At 35.8% G+C, this 20,700-nt stretch overlaps 1 protein-coding gene across 13 annotated transcripts in view, besides 2 other annotated features; it reads left to right on the forward strand.

The window, feature by feature from the left end:
• FUT8 (fucosyltransferase 8) overlaps nucleotides 1-20,700 on the forward strand; it is a 387,280-nt gene that overhangs the window by 124,410 nt on the left and 242,170 nt on the right. The window lies entirely within an intron of this gene.
• Nucleotides 20,240-20,299: an enhancer, noted in NCBI's record as "active region_8566". NCBI's record gives its function as "activates an Ori minimal core promoter by ATAC-STARR-seq in GM12878 lymphoblastoid cells {active_cell/tissue: GM12878}" and the evidence as "EXISTENCE:reporter gene assay evidence [ECO:0000049][PMID:35858748]".
• Nucleotides 20,330-20,499: an enhancer, noted in NCBI's record as "active region_8567". NCBI's record gives its function as "activates an Ori minimal core promoter by ATAC-STARR-seq in GM12878 lymphoblastoid cells {active_cell/tissue: GM12878}" and the evidence as "EXISTENCE:reporter gene assay evidence [ECO:0000049][PMID:35858748]".

A 20,700-nucleotide genomic window follows, 5' to 3' on the forward strand; every position in this document is an offset into this window, starting at 1 on the left:
TTCTTTGGAGAAATACCTATTTAAGTCCTTTGCCCACTGTTGAGTCAGATTTTTTGTTGTTGAGTTTTAGGGATACTTTTTAAAGATGCTAATCACGTGAACTCCTTTTTAAGTGATTTATAATTCCGTAACATATACTTTTTTTTTTCTGATCGATTTCCTTATAGTTTGTATTCTAGTGGGTTAATGGAGTGTGATTTTTTTTTAAAACAGCTTTGCTGAGGTGTGATTGGCATAAAAAATACTGCACACATCTGAAATGAACAATTTGATTAGTTTTGACATATGTATACATCTGTGAATCCATACTCATTACCTCCACAGATTTCTTCTTGCCCCCTTGTAATCTTTTCCCCCACTACTACCCATCCTTCCTTGTCTCCAGGAAAATCCTGAATTGCTTTTGGTCACTATAAATTTAGTGCCTTTTCTAAAGTTTTTTTTTAAAATGGAACTTCTAGTATATACTTTTGGGCAGGGGCTGTCCATTCCTGTGTTTATTTATCCTTTGTATATTTTCTTTGGTAAAATATCTGTTCAAATATTTTGGCCATTATTTAAATTGGGTTGTTTGTTTTCTTATTATTGAGTTTTGAGAGCGGTTTATATTCTTGATCAAAGTTGTTTATAAGATACGTGCTTCGCAGATGTATTTTTCCTGGACTGTTGCTTGTCTTTTCTTTCTCTTAATAGTGTCTTTTGAAGAGCACACATTTTAAATTATGATGAAATTTGTTTGTTCTCATATGGATTGTGTTTATCTATCAGTTTGTTCTCATATGGATTCTATTTTTGTTTATGTATCTAAGATATATTTGCCTAATCCAAGGGCATAGAAGTTCTCTCCTGGAAGTTTTATGGTTTTGTATTTAGACCTATGATGCATTTTGAGTTAATTTTTTTATATGGGATAAAAATTGGATAGAAATTCTTTTTTGGGGGGTAGAGACATGCAGTTATTTCAGCATCATTTACTGAAGTGGTTTGTGTCCTTTTGATTTTTGTCAAAAATCATTTGACTGTATACGCGTGGGTTTATTTCTGACTCTTATTTTGTTCCACTGACCTCTTTGTCTTTCTTTTTTTTTTGTCTCTCATACCAGCTCAGTTTTAATTTTAAAGTGACAAATGTACAGGTGGAATAAAATTTTAAGCAACACCCTCCAAATTCCTCTTACATGACAAGAAGAAGCTGAATGTAATTTTGCTCTATAACCAACTAAACAGTAGCTCAGGATAGACATAAAGCCAACTTTTCCAATTAAGCCTTTGTGAAAATCAATTTCTAAATGGATCACAACTCCAGGATATTGTTTCTGTGCTGTGATTTCTTTGTCTTTCTTGATGCCACTACCATGCTGACTATTATGGCTTTATAAGTCATGAAATCGGGTCACGTTAACCCATACAACTGCTTGTTCCTTTTCAGAGCAATTTTGGCTATTGTGCTGGTTACCAATCTGTTGCCTCTCAGCTCCAAATGCATCCTTTTTGCCTGCTCTGTGAAAATAGATCAGGCCCTTTAAATATTTTTCTTTTGTCAGCTGACAATGTTAAGTTTTGCCAGTACAGAGTGCTGGAGAAACACTGCAGAGAAGTTTTGCTTGTTCGTTTCTGTGTACTTGCTTAGTGGACTGTAGCAACACACTCAGCTTCTCCAGTGTCAACCCACATTGGCTTTCCCACTCTACAGTTTCTGTAGGATGCATGTTTTCACCATTATCAGGCTTCTGCAGTGCTCAGAGGGCAGCAATACCCAGCAACCAGTGACCCGAGGCCAGCAACTTCTTTTACTTCCCCCTCAGTTGGATTTGTAACAGAGTATCTTTGGTGGGACACTTCTGTGTGAAGAGATTTTACTAGCACCCTAAAGAATGGATTTCTGGCAAGTTCCACAAGGTAGACTTCCAGTAAGTTCTGCTGGTGCAGCACTACAGCAACTTCCGTGCTATTCAGTGAGAGGACTGTGTTCTCTCCAACAAGGTCTGGATCTCAGCCCTGGGATGGTTTAGGGTCGGAGGAAGCTCTTGCCTTGGTGTTCTGTGTCAGCCTAGGGAGCATTGGCTACTCTTAAGAGTTCTCTTTATTTCTCATTAGTTAATTAGCTGTTTCTCCAACCCCATGTTAAATAGTTAGTGATCCTTTTTATTAAGCTTTCACTTTTCAAATTACTGTGTGGCTTTTCTCTCCGGAATGGCTTTACATTTCCATATGAATTTAAGAAACAGTATGTAAATATTTGATTGGAATTGCATCGAATCTATAGATGAATTTGAGGGACAGTTGACATCTTAACGATATCAAGTCTTCTGACTCATGAATAAAATGTCTCCATTTATTTGGATGTTTAATTTCTTTCAGCAGTATTTTATTGTTTTCAATGTACTGATCTTACCCATATTTTATTAGGTTGATCTTTAAGTATTTTATATTTTTTGATGCTTTTATAAATATTTAAATAACATATCAATTTTTTTTTTTTGAGACAGAGTTATTGGCCAAGTGTGGTCAGTAACTGTCACCCAGGCTGGAGTGTGGTGGCATGATATCAGCTCACTGCAACCTTCACCTTCTGGTTTCAAGTGATTCTTCTGACTCAGCCTCCTGAGTAGCTGAGATTGCTCAGCTACCACACCCAGCTAATTTTTGTATTTTTAATAGGGATGGGATTTCACCATCTTGGCCAGGCTGGTCTCGAACTCCTGACCTCAAGTATCTGCCCTCCTCGGCCTCCCAAAGTGCTGGGATTAAAGGCGTGAGCCACCACACCCGGCCAATAACATACAATTTTTAATTGTTCATTACTAATGTATAAGAATGCAATTGATTTTTGTATAGTGGCATTGTATCCTGAAAACCTGCTGTACTCATTCTGGTAGCTTTTTTTGTAGATTACATTGGCTTTTCTGCATAGACAAAGCATGTCTTTTGTGAATAAAGAGAGCTTTATTTCTTCCATTCTAATAAAAAGACAATCCTTTTATTTCTTTTTCTTGCCTGATTTCACTGGCTAAAACCTCTGATATAATGTTGAATAGAAAAAGAGCAGACATCTTAGTCTTGTTTCTAATCTTAGGGGGAAAGCATCTATTCTCTCACAATTAAGTATGATGTTGTAGATTTTTCAGGATGCACTTTACTGGGCTGAGGAAGTTTTTTTCCATTCCTAGTTTGGGTAAAGTGTAAAAGAAAATTAGGAATGGATTTTGAATTTTGTCAGTTTTTTTTAATGTGTTGAAATGATCCCATGTTTGTTTTTTTTAAAGTTTTTTATTAGCCAGACATGGTGGCACACACCTGTAGTCCCAGTTACTCGGGAGGCTGAGGTGCAAAGATTGCTTGAACTTGGGTGGTAGAGGCTTCAGGGAGCCAAGATCATGCCACTGCACTCCAGCCTGGGTGACAGGGTGAGGCCCTGTCTCAAAAAAATAAAAAAATTTGTTAATATGGTGGATTACATTGCTTGATTTTTAAAGGTTAATCCAACTGTATGTTTCTGAAATAAGCCCACTTGGTTATGATGTATATTTGGCTTCTTGATGTTGCCCCACAGTTCACTGATGCTCTTTATATTCTTTTTGTGTTCTTTTCTCTTTTTGTGTTGTATTTTTGGATCGTCTTTATTGGTATTTTTCCAAGTTCATGGATTTTTTTCTTCTACGGTGTCTAATCTGTTAATTCTATGTAGTTTTTTATGTTAGATATTATAGTTTTCATCTTTAGAGTTTTGATTTAGATCTTTTTTATATCTTCCATGTCTCTTAATGTTTTGGCTATATGAAATGCATTTAGAATAACTTTTAGACTAGGCGTGGTGGCTCATGCCTGTAATTCCAGCACTTTGGGAGTCTGAGGTGGGAGAATTGCTTGAGCCCAGGTATTCAGGACTACCCTGGCCAACATAGTAATACTTCGTCTCTATTAAAAAAAATAATAATAATTTTTAATGTCCTTGTTTGCTAACATCTGGGTTGGTTTCAGTCAATTGATTGCTTTATTCATGTTTTCATGCCTCTTTGCATATCTGGTAATCTTCAGCTGACAGACATTGTGAATTTTACCTTTTTTGAGTGTTAGATATTCTTTTATTATTAGAAATACTGTTGAATTTTGTTCCGGATATGTAGTTATTTAGAGATAATTTGAGGCTTGCTTTTATGATTTTTTTAAGAGGCCTGGAGCAATGCTCAATCCAGGGCTAGTTATTCCTCACTACTGAGGCAAGACCTTCTTAAGCACTCCACTCAATGTCCTCTGTGAATTAAGAGCTTTACCAGTTTGGCTGGTAGTAACAGGCAATATTCCTAAGTCTGCATGATTATCCATCACTATTCTCTCAAATTCTTTCAGATGTTTTTTTCCCCAGCCTCCAGTAGTTGTCTCACACTTTGAGCTAATCAGTACTGTGCTGAATATTTGAGAGGCCCTGCTGCAGATTTCTGGGTTTTGTTCTCTGCGTAGCCACCCTGCTACTTTCCCGGGGCTAGCTACCTTTGTCTTCATGGACTCTAAGCTCTTCTGTTTCATCAACTCAAGTTAGTTTATCCACGCACCTAGCTCCCCTTGGATTTCTTTCTCTTCCCTGGGCCTTAGCCTGAAAAGTCTCCAAAGGTTGTAAGCTGGGACAATTGAAGGGTATTGCTTGTTTCCTGTCTCTCTAGAATCGCTGTTCTTTGTTGCTTAATGTCCAGTTTCTTGAAAAATGTTGTTTTCTATATTATGTCCGTTTTTCTTTTAAGTGAGAGGACAAACCTGGTTGTTACTGCATCCTGACCTCCATATATAGCATATTTTTAACCCCATTATTTTCCATTTTTTAAAACTTTTTTTCCCATTATTTTCTGTAGTAAAAATAATTCTGGTTTGAAAATTACAATTTCTTTATGTTTTAGCACTAGCTAATGCAAGTATCTATTATATACAAATTGTATTGGCAATTTTCTTTCTAAAAAATCCCCCCAATTATTCTGCATATATAATAATACCTACGTTTTAAAAGGTATTTTTTTCCAATATTATTTTCAGTTGGTTAAAATAAACTACAGTACATACTAGTGGAGTCTGATTGAACTGATGTGAAGAATACAGAAAAATACTTAGAAATGTTTAGAGAACGCATTGTGATGAAATCTGTTAGGAGTACAATTGTTTTAACTGTAAAGCTTGGCATTACTGGATGGGAGACAGCTATAGAATACTTAAGCCTTATTGGTGAACATATAGGAAGAGGTGGAAATAAGAGATGAATTACATGAAGAAGTCTTTAAGTCATGGAGGCTTACTGAAATATTGAAAAAAGCAAATAAGTAGACCTAACAAGATAGAGGGGGCTCAGAAGAATGCATTTGTTTCTTATAGATGGTAGCTGGAGCTAGGGCAGTGTAGCTTATGGCTTTGCTTGAATAGAAAGAGTTGATTTGGGATAATTGGATTTAAATCCTCTATTTACCACTTGCTAACTGGGTAAGTTTTTTAAACTAAATTTCTGATTTTGCATGTGTAAAATGAGGATAAGCATATTTATCCCGAGGGTTGTAGTGAGCCTTAAATAGAATCAATTACATAGAAGTATATAGCAGTATGTTTGTGTGCTTAATAAGTGTTTGTCTTTATTATTTTAAAGAAATGACCAGAGAAAGCTTTACTTTTCTATTGCATATTTCCCTAGTGATTATATGGACATAGAAGCAGTGCTTACAGTTACCTTGGAACCCATCAAGGAAAAATGAAGCAAATTCCTGCCCTGTTGCCCTTCTGGAACATTACATAGTTTAGATGAAAATCAGCCAGAGCACAGTTAGACTCTATTAGCATAAGATTATGTTAGAAAATAGTGGGCATGATAAGGCCCTGAAGGAGAGTTCTAACTTGGAGAAGGATGGTGGAATTTTTTTATAGGGCTTTGACAGTAGGGGTCAGGCAAAGTTCAGTTTGAGGAGTAGTTAGTCAAGGATAGCTCTCAGAGGAGGGGAGAATTGATCATGTACATTAGCAATTATTGGGCAATTTGAATTTTATTAAGAATGTTGGGGCTGGGCATGGTGGCTCACGCCTGTAATCCCAGCACTTTGGGAGGCCAGGCAGGCAGATCACTTGAGATCAGGAGTTCGAGATCAGCCTGGCCAACATGGTGAGACCCCGTCTCTACTAAAAATACAAAAATTAGCCAGGTGAGGTGGTGGGTGCCTGTAATCCAAGCTACTCGGGAGGCTGAGGCAGGAGAATCACTTGAACCCGGGAGGCAGAGGTTGCAGTGAGCAGAGATTGTGCCACTGCACACTCCAGCATGAGCAGCAGAGTGAGACTCCGTCTCAAAAAAAAAAAAAAAAAAAAACTCAGTTTTTAGTGTCTTCACAGTAGATTTTTTTGTCATTGGCTCTTGCGGCCTTTCTTCTTGTCTCCCCCAGTTCCAGCCCCCCAAAATAGAAGGGCCCATTATCTTGCTCATGATTTTAGATTCCCAGCTCTTGATTTTGGAAGGCGCTGTCTTTGTGAAATTTCAGAGATCAAGGAGTTAGTGTTTTGTGGTGTGGGAAATTTCTCTCAGTCTTTGCTCCTTGCATTCTTTGTGCAGTTTTTTCTTTGTTTATTTCAGAGACAGGGTCTTGCTCTGTTGCCCAGGCTGGAGTACAGTGGTGTGATCATAACTCACTGCAGCCTTGAATTTCTGAGCTCAAGTGATCTTCCTGTCTAAGCCTCCTGAGTAGCTAGGACTACAAGTGTGTGCCACCACGTCTGGCTAAAAATTTTTTTTAGACATGGGTCTTGCTATGTTGCCCAGACTGGTCTGAAACTCCTGGCCTCAAGCAGTCCTCCCACCTCTGCCTCCCAAAGTGCTGAGATTAGGGGCGTGAGCTACCTCACCCAGCCTGCAGTGTGTCTTGGATCCTGTTATGTAGGTGCTCTGTAGTAGAGGAAACAGTAATATATGATAATGAAAAGCTTCAAAGTAGACATATGGCTGAAAGGGAGATTTGAATAGGGTTTTGCAGCAGCTATTTTAGTTGATGACACATCTTCAACTTAAATTGCAATTGCCTTTTTTCATTTCGCTTCATCCTTCTGTGATGATCCTAGTAGAAGTCAAATGAGATCATTTTTGATAGTTGGTTTGCAGGCTTCGGTGTATGCACCCAACCTTTCAAAGACTGCCTGTGCTTTTCAGGGAGCTCAGTTTTGTGACTGAAAGGATCAGCTATTCTCTTCTACCTTTTTAATGCACTACTGGTTTCTAGCAGCTGCTGCTTAACGCTGTTCATTCTTGAGTTTGGTGAATTGTTTTCTGTGCTCCATGTGATTTCTTTGTCTTTATGAGGTACATTTTGACTACAGGTGAGCCAATTTCCTGTGAATATAATCTATGCTTTGAAATTAAATTATCTTTATCCTCTTTAAATATGTAAATCTTCTTAGTATCTGCTAGTTTGCCTCTTGCTTTGTGGCTCCTTGTGTTCCTCTTGTAATGCTTGCTTAGCTTTTAATTTAAATACCAGACTGTGTTGGTTAGCATCCATAGAAGACATAGGCCTATTCAGGAAAGTGTGAATATTTGGCCACCATATTTAGGATTATTGGGGCATTTCTTTCCAATTTTTCAGAGTACAGAAAAAGAGGTGAGTTTCCTATTCCTTCCTAATCAAGTTCACCATCGACCTTGTACTTTTTGAACCAACTTGAATAGAAAAAAAACAACCTGAAGAATAATATGTTTACTATTTCTACATGGATATACTGACTATAACTATGGAAAATATATTTGATTAGTTACATGAGGCTCTCATGGTAAATGTGTCAGATATAGTCAATATTTTAGTATTGTCATGTAGTATTAAGTATTTTTCCATCAATGATTAGAAAGTTATGATTTTTTGTTGTTCAGCAAATTATCATGAAAAATTCAATAATGTTGCTTTTTCTTTTTGATAGCCAGAGGAAGTTAGAGAACAGATTTATCTAACACTAAACGGTCACTGGCAAGAACCTTTTCTTTGTAACATGTTACTTTGTTCCCTAACCTCATTCTCCTCCACCTGTAACAATGGTGAATATGAAGCAAGTGTTCAGTATCCTAGCTTTCTCTAATTTTCTGGGACGTATCTCTTTTAGTCTCCGTATATTAAATCTTAGGGAACCTGAAAGGCTTCTTTATTAGCCTTTTTTATTTCTCCCTAAAAGTATTGATGTTTTTATAGGAATCTCTGCTATCCAGGGATAAAACATAACATGCAATTAAAAAAATTTCAGCCATTGAGAATGTTTTTATAAATGGACAGATCAGTTACTTAAAAAGTTCTATAGATTTGTGATTAAAAAAATAGTTCCCTATTTGAATAATTGTCCAGGAAATTAGCTGTTGATCATATTTAAAATATAACATAAAAATGAGTCTTAAAATATGTATAGCTTCATTTGTGTTGATTGATGTTGTAACTTTTTTTGAGTAAAATGCATCATTAGAAAATGTATTTGGAATTACATTAAAAAGGATTCTATGTTTTGTTTATTGGTATCACACACGTGTCATGTGGGTCATAGACTTGTTTCATAGTAAAACAGATGGCATGGCAAGGGAGAAGAAACTTACATGCAAGTTTTTGCACAAATATCAAAGAAATTCAGTGTACTTTCTTTTCAAAAAAACATTAAAAACTCCAAAACCCAAGGAAGAAAAAGCTTCTTGCATTTATATAACAATTCTTAATCTATTAGTTGCAGGGCAAAAATAATAAAATATTAATTATATAGTCAAAAATAGCTTTTAACTATGAAGAAGTCTTCCTATCAAATTCTTCTGTTCATTAAACCTACTTTTGGTTATTATTTAAATGTAATTGGGCAGTTCCAAGAAAAGCTTCAGAACAGCTGTAATTACAGCTGCAGATTTAGTCAAAATAGGGGCTGTAAGAGGCTGTTTACTCTCCTTTTGCATCTCTTTCACCCCCACCCCAAATAACCCAAATTTAGTTGTAAAAGTTTTTGGTAAGCTCAGGATTTCTGAAACTGGAGTCTATGTATTTAACTGCATGCAGATGTGATGATTACATGTGACTTTTAAGGTTCCCATAACCTTTTAGTTCTTGTATTGCTCTATGCACAGTTAAGTGATTTTTGTCAGCTGTGTCTGTATTGAATTTTACAGATACACATATATTTTAAACACAGTTTAGTGATTTTTATCAAGGCCCAGGCATCTGCTCAAACTACTGAGAAGGGTAATAGTTTTCAATCTAAATTTGAGCTAATGTTGACATTATTACAAGTTGACTGGAAACATTTACAAAAGCCTGTATCTGTGTTAAAAAAATATATTTCTTCAAATTTTACTCTACTAGGAAATTGCCTTTGACTTCATCTGAAAACAAATTTGGCAAATGTCTTAATTTTTAGAGAAAGACCTACTATGATAAATCAAAAACTAAATACACATCTATGTCACATCCCTCCCTCCTCCCAGAGCTTTGATCTGGGGAGTTGATGGCATTCTAAGGTCTGGTTTTTAGTTAATCAGTCAGAGATTATATATAAGGGTTATGGAAGACTGTGGCAAAAAGCAAGGTTTAGAGCCTTTTTCCCTTTCCGAGTTAATTACCATTTCTTTTGCAGATGGCAGTTATGCTGAATATTGATCATAAGATACAATAACATATCTTGGATTCTCACCACAGTTTTACAGTGTTACCTACTCAGAATCTGGTTCAAAATTGTAGTGACTTGTTGAATTGCACATAGGGAAATTTGAAGAGCCTTCTGCTAAAGCCAACAATTTAACACTTTTAGTTAGAAGACCAAGTGAAACTTGCCTGTATTTGCATTGGACCATATTAAAACTGGTAAGGGTATAAAATTATATAGGACATGGTTCTTACCTCAAAGTACAGTGGGTAGACAAGGTGCAAATATATGCATTAAAATAATACATCAATGATTAGGGTAAATAAACTTACTTTTAAATCCCCAGACTCAACAACTCTTTAAATCTTGAATTCTAAAGATCGAGACCAACTTTCTTACAGATGAGGAAACATATTCAGAGAAGTGCAGTGAATTGTCATTAATCAAAGGGGGTTTATAGGTCATTCTAAATATGAGCTCAGTAATGACAATAGGTAGCAAGTTAACTTTGCTTTTTAAATCTTGAATGTCAGCTAATGTTGACTGATTGCTTGTTTCAAGTATTTTTACAGAGAAACTTCTGGTCCTTTTCTCATGTGAGTCCAGTGGGAATATCAGCAGCATGGGGACAATAGGTTATTTTCAGACTGGATAAAATTGAACAGAAGCCATTTCAGAGAATACTGGAGAACTGAAAAGAATAATAAAACACATTCATTAAGGCAAAATAAGGGAACTATATTTATAAAATCACATAATTTTTAAAGCACGAATTGATTTATAGGTATGAGGAAAGGTAGCAGGTAAAATGTGATATGGAATATAATTTTGATGATTAAGTATAACTTAATAATTATGTGAGGAAAAAGGAATTAACAGAAAATCTTTTAGGAAGGTAAATAGAACTTTGAGACTTTAGTAAGATAGGAAAAGTGAAATGTGAAAAACAAGTTAATTTTATATAGGGAGGCTATAGATTTAACTCATTGTTAAAAACTTGTCATCATCACAATCTTTTTGTGCCTTCTTCCTTACCCCACTGGTTCTCTCTTAAGAGAAGCTCTGGTGTCATGTGTTGTGATGTAATATAGTGCTGTAAAGTTCTGATTTTGTCACTTACAGCCAGCCTGGTCTTGGAATAAAATTTTGCTTATGAAGACATTAAAAAAATGAATAATTTTGAATTAGTTACTTGGACTTGTGAGCTTCAGTTACTTAGCAAAAAATGAGATTATGTCTTCAATGTGCCTAATTATACAATTGTTGGGACAATCAAGTGAAATCACATGAAAGTGTTTTAAAAACCAAAGGTAAGTAATATTTTTTTCATATTAAAACTGTAGATTCAATCCAACATGACAGATATTTATAAGCATGTTAAATCAAGTTTAGCCGAAAGCTGCCTTCTTACTTCAGTTTAGCCTAAAGGTTTTTGAGCTATAACAAGTGGAGGCATATTGTGAGCTATAACAAGTGGAGGCAGAAACAGACTGTAGCCACACTTGTGCCAGTCACTAAGTTTTGGCCAATCAAATGTAGTCAACTGTTCAAACTGTGTTCAAATAAGGCAAACACCAACCTGTAACCAGTCCAGCTGTTTTTGTACGTCACTTCCTTTTTCTGTATGTCACTTCCTTTTTCTGTACATCACTTTCCTTTTTCTGTCCTTAAATCTTCCACCATGTGGCTGTGCTGGAGTCTCAGCGCCTACTCTGGCTTAGGAGCGTGCCTGATTTGCAGATTGTTCATTGTTCAGTTAAACTCCTTTAAATTTAATTCTGCTGAAGTTTTTCTTTTATCAAGTACCTAATATGTCAGACGCAGTGTTGTAGACTTTAGATTTCAGGAGAAGGAAGAGAAAGGAAATAAAACATAATGTAAATGTCTATAATATATGACAGAATATGAAAAGGGTAATAAGAGATTCAGCTTACCTATATTTTGGCTTAGGCAAAGAGTTACCCACCTGAATCTGCTCTAAGTCCATGAGGCTTGTTTACCACAAGTGGCAAAGTAGGAATTTTGACCATTTCGTGTCTCTGTCTCTCCCTCCCCACCTGCTTCCCTTCTCTCCTCCCCTTTATCTCCCCACTCCCTCTCTGTCTCCCCATCTCTCTCCCTGCCATAAGGTGAAAGTTTAAACTTGGGCTCTCCAATAGTTGCAGATAGGAGCTTGTTGATTTTTTTGTGTACAAGCGTGAATCAGTGGCCAAGTCAAAGTGCCATAAGGAATGTACAATTTTTAGACTTTGGTGAGTATTGCCAATGATATAGCGTCTAGATTTTAATATCTGCATTGTATACCTTTCCAGGGCATAGAGGATTAAAGGGGGACTTTAGAAACAACTATTTCAGTCATCTGTGAAGATACTTTTTACAGAATCCCAGACTTAGCTTGACGGCTTTTTATAGTGAGGAATCTTTCTATCATGTAATGCAGACCACTTTATTATGGGCTCCAGTATTTGGAGTTCTTAGTCCCAAATGACCACCTTCTCCCTCTGTTATTCTGTATTCTTTTCATTTTGTTAGATATATTTTGGCTTGACTGAAGAGAGAACCTGTTGATGGGGAAGCTAGGAATAGAAAGAGAAGGGATAGGTTCAGGAAGCTTGACAAAAAAGGAAATAATGGTAGTAATAATGGTTAATAATTCTTAGCACTGAAGTCTCAGGTACTGTGCTAAATGCTTTTCTTATATTATAACCTATAGAATTGATGTTTTAATATTAAATATTAATTAAATGAAAGATTAGTTTGATAGTAAATAATAGTATTTACCCTCTGTTACAGAAAAGAAACTGAGCTACAATAATTTGCCCAGCAAAAGGTAGAGTTCTTGCTGGGCTATTGATTCTAGAGACCAAACCTTTAACATTGCCATGTATTGTCTCTTAGGGATAACCTTGGAGGCCTCTTTGGGAAAAATTTTCTCCTTTTTTTTTTCTAAGTATGATAGTGTTTGGAAATAAAAGATTAACATTTCAAGGCTGGTAATTTGGGTGGAAGTGGGGAGGAGGTGAATAAAATTTATTCAATATTTTAAGGTTAGATGAAGAGATAAGGAAAGGAAGGAACCTGGAAGCAGATGAGTGAATGTAATATGCTTTGTTAGTCAGGGAGAAAGGAAATTTTGGTTTAGCTGTTGTAATGACTACATTTTATAATACTATATAAACATGCAAGTTTGATCTTTGTATAGTTTAGTAAAAGCTATGGTCATTAGTTTATAGTCCAGTGCTGTCCAATAGAAATGTAGAGTGAACCACACATGTAATTTTTTAACTTTTTGTTAGCTACATTTAAAAAGCAAAAAGAAGCAGTTAAAATTGGTTTCAGTTATTTAACGTAATGTATTCAAAATATTTCAACAACTAATCAATATAAAAATATCAATTAGAGTTTTACATTCTTTTATTCATATTAAGTCTTTGAAATCCATGTGTATTTTACACTTATAGCACATCTCAGTTCAAACTAACCACATTTCATATGGCTACATTTGGCTACTGAATACCTTACCAGACAGTGCATTTACATACTATTAGAAGAGAAAAGGTTTATTGTAGTTGCTATGTTCATAAAAAGTTTCTGATTGAATTACAAGTAGATGGCTTATTCTCCCTCTGTATGTAACAAACAAGGAGTGAAGAGGAATCTGGGGCTGCAAAGCATCGCTCTCCAGTTGTATCCAGAGAATCTACTCAGGAGGGGCAACGTATTTTTTTATTTTTTATTTTTTAAATTTTACTTTAAGTTCTGGGATACATGTGCAGAATGTGCAGGTTCGTTGCATAAGTATACATGTGCCATGGTGGTTTGCTGCACCTATCAACCCATCATCTAGGTTTTAAGCCCCGCATGCATTAGGTATTTGTCTGAGGAATGAAACTATAAACATATTAAATCCTATAAAAAGAAAAAAAAGTAAGGTTCTGAAGGGTTCCAGAATTCAGGAGACGGAAGAGAAAGGATATTTTTTATACTTAAGGAAGTGGGGAGGAAGGTTTACCAAATGTTTAGGTTTCTGCTGATTGAGGCTTTGTTGTATAGTTAGAAGGACTTCCAAGAGACTCCAGAATTTCTGCTATCGTAGTTCTGGGCTCTGGTTTTACCTAAAAACTCAATGCTTTTTCTCTAGATAGAGCTCTGGAGGAGAGGCACACAGTTCTTACTTAGTGTGAAACATGGTGTTTGTTGGTTTAGGGACTTTGTACCTCTTTCTGGAACCTTTCAGAACCTTTTTTTTTCTTTTTATAGGATTTAATATGTTTATAGTTTCATTCCTCAGGCAGGAATTACTGAAGTTTGCTTTTCCCTTAAAAAAAAAAAAAACCCAGTAAATTAAATAATCACATTTAAAAAACTATAGCAAATCTTTTCTAACTATGAAAGTTAAAAAAAGTCATGTATTCTTTGTGAAAAGTTAGGTAATTGAGATACCTGTTTTTACATATTAAATGAACAGGTCTCAAGCAGAGTTTTCACTTTGGCTGCTGCTTCTTGCACTGGGGTTCCTTGGGCAGGAGCACTCTGGTGAATCATCACCTCTGGTTTGGATGTAGTAGTACTGGATATTTTGTTTCTTTTAAGGAGAGTGTGAACAAATGGGAGTTATGTGTTCCTCCGGGGTATGGTCCATTTGTATATTGCTCTTTATCTGTGTATCATATTTTATTTGGCTAAGAGCCTAATTATAATATATTTAATTTTTAAAAATCTTAGCTATTTGTAGGGTTTAAAAAACTAAACAACAGCAATAGGATTTGTATTGCTAATTGAGAGATACCAGGTTAAAATACAAGTTTTCTATATAATTTAGCAGAATAAAACACACTTATCATTTTTCCATTTTCTGAATTTGTAATATGCTAATGTTATCAGTATATAATATTTTTTGCTATGACTAATTGTGTTATATTTGTTGTGAATGTAGTCTTGGTTCAAGTAGGGGTAAGGAGGTATTTTGGAAACCAGTGCTTACCATTTTGGGGATAGGTGGTGGGAATAGACAAGCTAGAAATACACTTGGAAGGAAGAAAACCATTTAGTAGGAACTTGAGATGAGGGGAGAAACAGACATTTTTAGGAAAGTGTAGTGTTTTAAAAAATAAATTTAGACACAAAAAATTAATCATTAGGAACATAATCAGATTTTAGAAAAATTTAAGTAGAAAAAAATCACGTTAAATAGATAACTTTGAAGTAAATACTAATTATGTTTATATTTTGAGGGGAGGAAATAAGTCTCTTAGTTGGCCCCCTTGAGGCTGCCTAGATGTGGAGAACCATAAGACTGAGTTTGTACCATCTTTGAGTTAAAAAGCTAACCCTGAGTGATTTTGGAATAGATTCCTTTAACATATTTTCAGTCATATTCCTTTTAGAATTATTATTACATAGATTTCCTAATTTGTAATTCTCAAGTGCTGTGAAACATTAAACATTTTTAGCAACCTCAACCCATCATAGTCCTATGACTGCCCTTCTTTCACTTTTAGTCATATAGGAACATTTATAAGAGTATCTGATATGGTTAGACTTTGTCTCCTCACCCAAATCTCATCTTGAATTGTAATCCCCATAATCCCCACGTGTCAAGGGAGAGACCTGGTGGGAGGTGACTGGATCATGGGGGTCGTTCCCCCATGCTGTTCTCATGTTAGTGAGTTCTCATGAGATCTGATGGTTTTATACGTGTCTGACAGTTCCTCCTTCACCCACTCGCTCTCTCTTGCCTGCCGCCATGTAAGACATGCCTCTTCCCCTTCTGCCATGATTGTAAGTTTCCTGAGGCCTCCCCAGCCATGCAGAACTGTGAGTCAATTAAACCTCTTTTCTTTATAAATTACCCAATTTTGGGCAGTTCTTCATAGCAGTGTGAGAATGGACTCTGGCCATGATTTTCTTGGTATGACTCAGGAAAATTCTTCTATGGGGTATGGCTGTGGAGTGGTTTTGTGCTTGCTGTTGTTGCCGTGGTGCTTCAGAAAGTTAGCCTAGATTAAAGAGTTCAGGTTTTGGAGTCACATGGGTTGTCTTGAATTCTGTCTCTGACCCTTAACTACCCCTGTGACATTGGGCAAGTTACTAGACCTCAGTTTCCTCAACTGCAAATTGGAAATAATAGCAACCACCTCCTAGGGTTGTGATGAAGTTTAAGGATAAATGCTGCTCTTTTTATTGAGCATTTATTTATTCCAGCCAGACACTGTGTTACATACTTCATATGCAGTATATAATTTAATTTGTATGTGTATATTAGAGTATGTAAAAGTTCATTTCCAACGGTAATATATGTCCAGTAACCGGTTGCTATTACTTTTTCTATATGTTGATTCCTTAATCAGAAGTTGATGTTCCTAAGATGAAAGATGGGAATGGGCATTTTGATCAGATCTGAAGGACTTGTTTGGAAGTTGACAGTGGTTTGAAGGTGAAATATTTACTAGAGTGTGGTTCAAGGATAATCTGCATGGTAATTACCTTGGAAGCTTGTTAAAATGTAGAGTTTTGTGTTTGTCATCTGAAACTCTGAGTCTGAATCAGGATCTCTGGCCGTGGAGCCCAGACCCTGCAGTTTTATAAGCTTAATCATAATTCTTATTCTCTATGAAGTTTTTGAATCATCTTTTTAATTTATTCTTCCCGATGATTAAAAAATGATTCTAATGATTTTTAAATATTTTTATTTGATGTAATGAGCTTTCCATTTTATTGGTAATGGAGGTGGTAAATTTTTTCCATTTAAATGTTTACATATATGTGATTTTTGTATGTTATAAGAGTTTAATGGGTGGTGACATTCATTCAGCTAATGTTTAGTAAATATTAAAATATTAAAATTTATAAAATACAATTTACTTATTTGGAGTATTTTAAAATGAATATATCATTTTATTCAGTTATTCAAACAAAATGATTGTTGAGACTATGAGTAAAATAGTCTCAATTTACTATAAAATATGTCATATTTTACTCAGTTTATAGTCTCCGAATAGGGTGGGAAAGGAGAGCAGATTGAGAATGTGCTGTTATGAAGCTAGGTGGAGAGGGGAAGGGAGCGATTTTCTGCTGCTAACTAGAAGAAAAGCATAACTACAAATAATTTATATAACTAATAAGATTTCAAAGCAGATAGAAATTTTCAGGGAGTTTTGGTCAGAGTCATTTTATTAGTCATATTATTTAATGAAAGAATAATCAGGAATGCTCAGCCTCTGTGTTTTCTACTATTGCTTTGCTCCCTAAGAACGCTCTTTTAGATTTTATCTGTCTATTCTTTTGAGTTTTATCTTTGCCTTCCTGGGAAGTCTCACTCGACTTTTTAGGAAATCAAGTTGTATCCCCACAGTGCTTCACATGACCTTATTTTTTTTAGATTCTTCAAGTAAAATCTTACTCAAAGGAACCAATAAATTGCCTCACGTCATAATTTTAAACTTAAGTGTTTGGAAGACTAATTTCAGTGAGTCTTTGCATTGGTATCTTTAGCCCACAAATCTTTTTGGCTCCAGTATCCACTTTAATAATTCTTATGGGTTAAGTAACTGTATTTTTAATATCTGTAGTTTTGTTCATTATCAGAAACTAGGTCACCAGGGTTTGTTGTGTCATTGTTAATTAAAAAGGTATTGTATGCTTTTTTTTTGGAATGTGCTTGTACTGAATGAAGCCAAAATATGTTAGTAATGCTCTGCTTTAAATACTCATAGAATATAATTTTGCATATTTTAAACTCAATCTATCTGCCAGTACAACAATGTTATTTATCTCTGAGAATTTTGACTATTCTTTCATGCTATTTAGAATTCAATGAATTGTTAAAACTTCTAGTAGGCTTTTTACTGACAGTCTCTGTCTGACTTCTCCTTTACAAGTTTTCCTCAATATTTTCAGAAGTAACATTTGGGTCTTACTGAAATAGGAATTTTTGGTTCTATAGTAGCAGATGGAAACAGTAGACTTTTTTAGAGGTTGGAAGCAGTGGGATACAGAGAAGGAGAAAAATCAGACTAAATTTATGTCATGCCTCTTTCATTGTGAAAAATAATTATAGCCTCATGTACATTACTTTTCTGAGGGTTGTAGTGGTGGTAATGGTTGTGGAAGTAGTAATAGTTGTAGGGATGAATTAAGGAGGCATTGGGTAAGAACGTGTCTCCCAACATAGGATTTCAGTTACTTCCCAAATATAAATAACAGTGGTTATTACCAAAAATTTTTCTTCAAGCGACAGTGATCTCACTGTATGTTGCCCAGGCTGGCCTGAAACTCCTAGGCTCAAGTGATTCTCCTGCCTCAACCTCCCAAGTTGCTGGGACTACAGACACACACACACACCACCATACCTGGCTGAATTTTTTTTTAACCAGAGAAGAGCACACTAATTTTTTCTTTACCCTTATAGCATTTTCATTACCAGTTATTATACTTTCATTCTGAATGATTTCAGAATGTTTGGGGATGGTGTTGATAAACTAGAATTATTTTGTGGTTAAGTAGAGGCCCTCAAACAGAGTACAGCTCAAGTCTCAGGTTTACCACTTTTTTTTTTAAGTAGTACATGGGGCAAATTATTTAATATCTTATTTTGCCATAACTAATTATTAATAAATATCTACTTTATAGGTGTGTTGATGATTAAATCAATTTGTAAAGAATAATGGGCTGGGTGCAGTGGCTTGTGCCTGTAATCCCAACACTTTGGGAGGCCGAGGTGGGAGGATTACTTGAGCCTAGGAGTTCGAGATAATTCTGAGCAACAAGCGAGGCCTCATATGTATAAAAAATGAAAAACTTAGGCTGGTGCGGTGGTGTGTGCCTGTAGTCTCAGCTACATGGGAGGCTGAGGCAGGAGGATTGCTTGAGTCCATCGAGGTCTATCCAGGCTGCAGTGATCTGTGATTGTACCATTGCACTCCAGCCTGAGCAACACAGCAAGACCCTGTCTCAAAAAAAAAAAAAAAATGCCAGCAAATAGTATGTGTTGAATATTTAGTTATAAGTATTATTCACTCTCTAAAATAGTCTTCTTAGTAAACTCTAATTGACCTTAGGGTAAAAAAATTTTTATATTTAAAAGCTCAGAAAAATTCAGCTTAGTTATTTTTAGGCTGGTGTTTGGTCTCACATACACACTTAACGCCCCTTTCAAACTGTTATGGAACAATGTTTTTCAAACTTTAATGTGCATATGGGATTGTGTAGGGATCATAATAACATGTAGATTCTTATTCAGTAGTTTTGGAATAGGATGAGATGTTACCTTTCCAACAAGCTCCTGTTGGTAATCTGGATGTAGCTCATTCTTATAACACACTTTGAGTAGCACAGTTATGCAGTGTTCCATTAAGTGGTTCTCATTCCTGCTTTCAGTATATTATAAACACTTAGATATTTTTTGTTCTTTATGCCTTGGCTCTGTGTCATACCAGTTAAATTAGAGCTTTGCCTTTGGGGTTCTGGGCATCATCGTCGTCATCATTGTCGTCATCATCATCATCATTTTTTCTTTCGGTAAAAATATCCTGGATCATTCTCTTGTGAAACTAGCATTAAGAGCCACCACTTTAGTTATCTGAAGGAGAGTCATAAGCTAAGAAGCTACATTTTAGGTCTTCTCTTACTTTGTTGTCTTCCATTTTAAGCTCATTTCCTCTGTAGAGATGATGGTGGACAGCTGGTTAGAACTCTTAAACTGGAAGGCAGTTAATATGTTGGCCTGAAGTTTTCTTTTCGCTAGACTAAAAGGTTTGACTGTTGAACCTTTCTTTATGGATCCTATTTCCTATCCCTTTTCATCATTTGTATAGTCTTCTTTGGACTTTCCCTAATTTCTCAATAGTCTCCTTAAAGTGTAATAACCCAAACTAGATACAAAACTGCTGTAACAAAACTGAACAATGGCAGAGGCAGAAGAATATAGATCTAAAAATCTGTGGTTTTCATTAGCGTTGAAAACTTGTATTTGCTTCAGACTTTTTATTGGCCTTTTCTTTATGTTTTTCAGGGTTAAAATGTGTTTTATGCCATGATATTTGTTTCAATATATTCCTTTCTTAGGTTATGCTTCTTCTTTCTTCCTCAACTGTGCTTCTTGTATCCATTTCCCATCTTGCACCTATTTTGGAGGAGAGGCAGTAAATATTTTCTTATGGACTTACCATGTTTGGGAAGACCGTTTTCCAAAGCGATCAAGATCATGTTAAATTTTATTCCATCTAGCCATGATGGCTCAGTTAGGATCAGGTCAGGAAAACAGTCCACACTAAATACTCGAGGCAGGAGGATTTCTTGAGACCAGGAGTTTGAGACCAGCCTGGGTAACATAGTAAGACCTGTCTCTACAGAATTACAAACAAAAACAAAAAATTTCAGCCCAGAAAATTTAATACAGGGAAGGGATTATACAGGTATTGGAGGGCTGAAAAAGCAAACAGGGAACACTGGGGTAACACAGAGACAATATTTGCAGGAATTAGCCACTATTCATATGGTTGAGGGGGAAATAAGAACTTGGAGTTGGGACCTCATAGAATTGGGGTTCAAAACCTCTGGAGGGGGTACTTCCTGACAGCTGTTGGTATGTCTGAGGGGAATTTCTGAGAGTGCCAGAAAAAGCTGGTGGTTATCACTGCTACTGCTGGGGTGGAGGATCTATGCTGGGCAATGCTGACTGGAAAAAGCATGTACTGCATTCTCCCTCTAGTGTCCTTATTGGCAGTGTGAGGAAGCTAGCTGCAGAAGAGAAAAGTAGTTTTCAGAGTTTTATTTTCAGTATTACAAAGATGAGTATTAAAGGGTAGATTTGGATCTGAGAGAAAATAGCTGAATAACCAGTATATATAGCCTTCTCTTCTGGTCAAAGGAGGCCATAGGCCTTTGGTCTCTTGGTCTCTTTTCCTAGCTACTTGGACCCCAGACCCAGATATTCTTAATGCTGAGGGTTTGGAAGGAAAGTTGTTATTATTATTTAAAAAATTAATTTGTTTAGTTAATGTGATGGGGGAGGGGGCATGAGACGGGTCTACTTTGTCTTTTCTTTTCTTTCTTTTTTTTTTTTGAGACAGTGTCTTGCTCTGATGC

The sequence above is a fragment of the Homo sapiens genome, chromosome 14 (genome assembly GCF_000001405.40).
Source record: "Homo sapiens chromosome 14, GRCh38.p14 Primary Assembly".
NCBI classification, from domain to species: domain Eukaryota; kingdom Metazoa; phylum Chordata; class Mammalia; order Primates; family Hominidae; genus Homo; species Homo sapiens.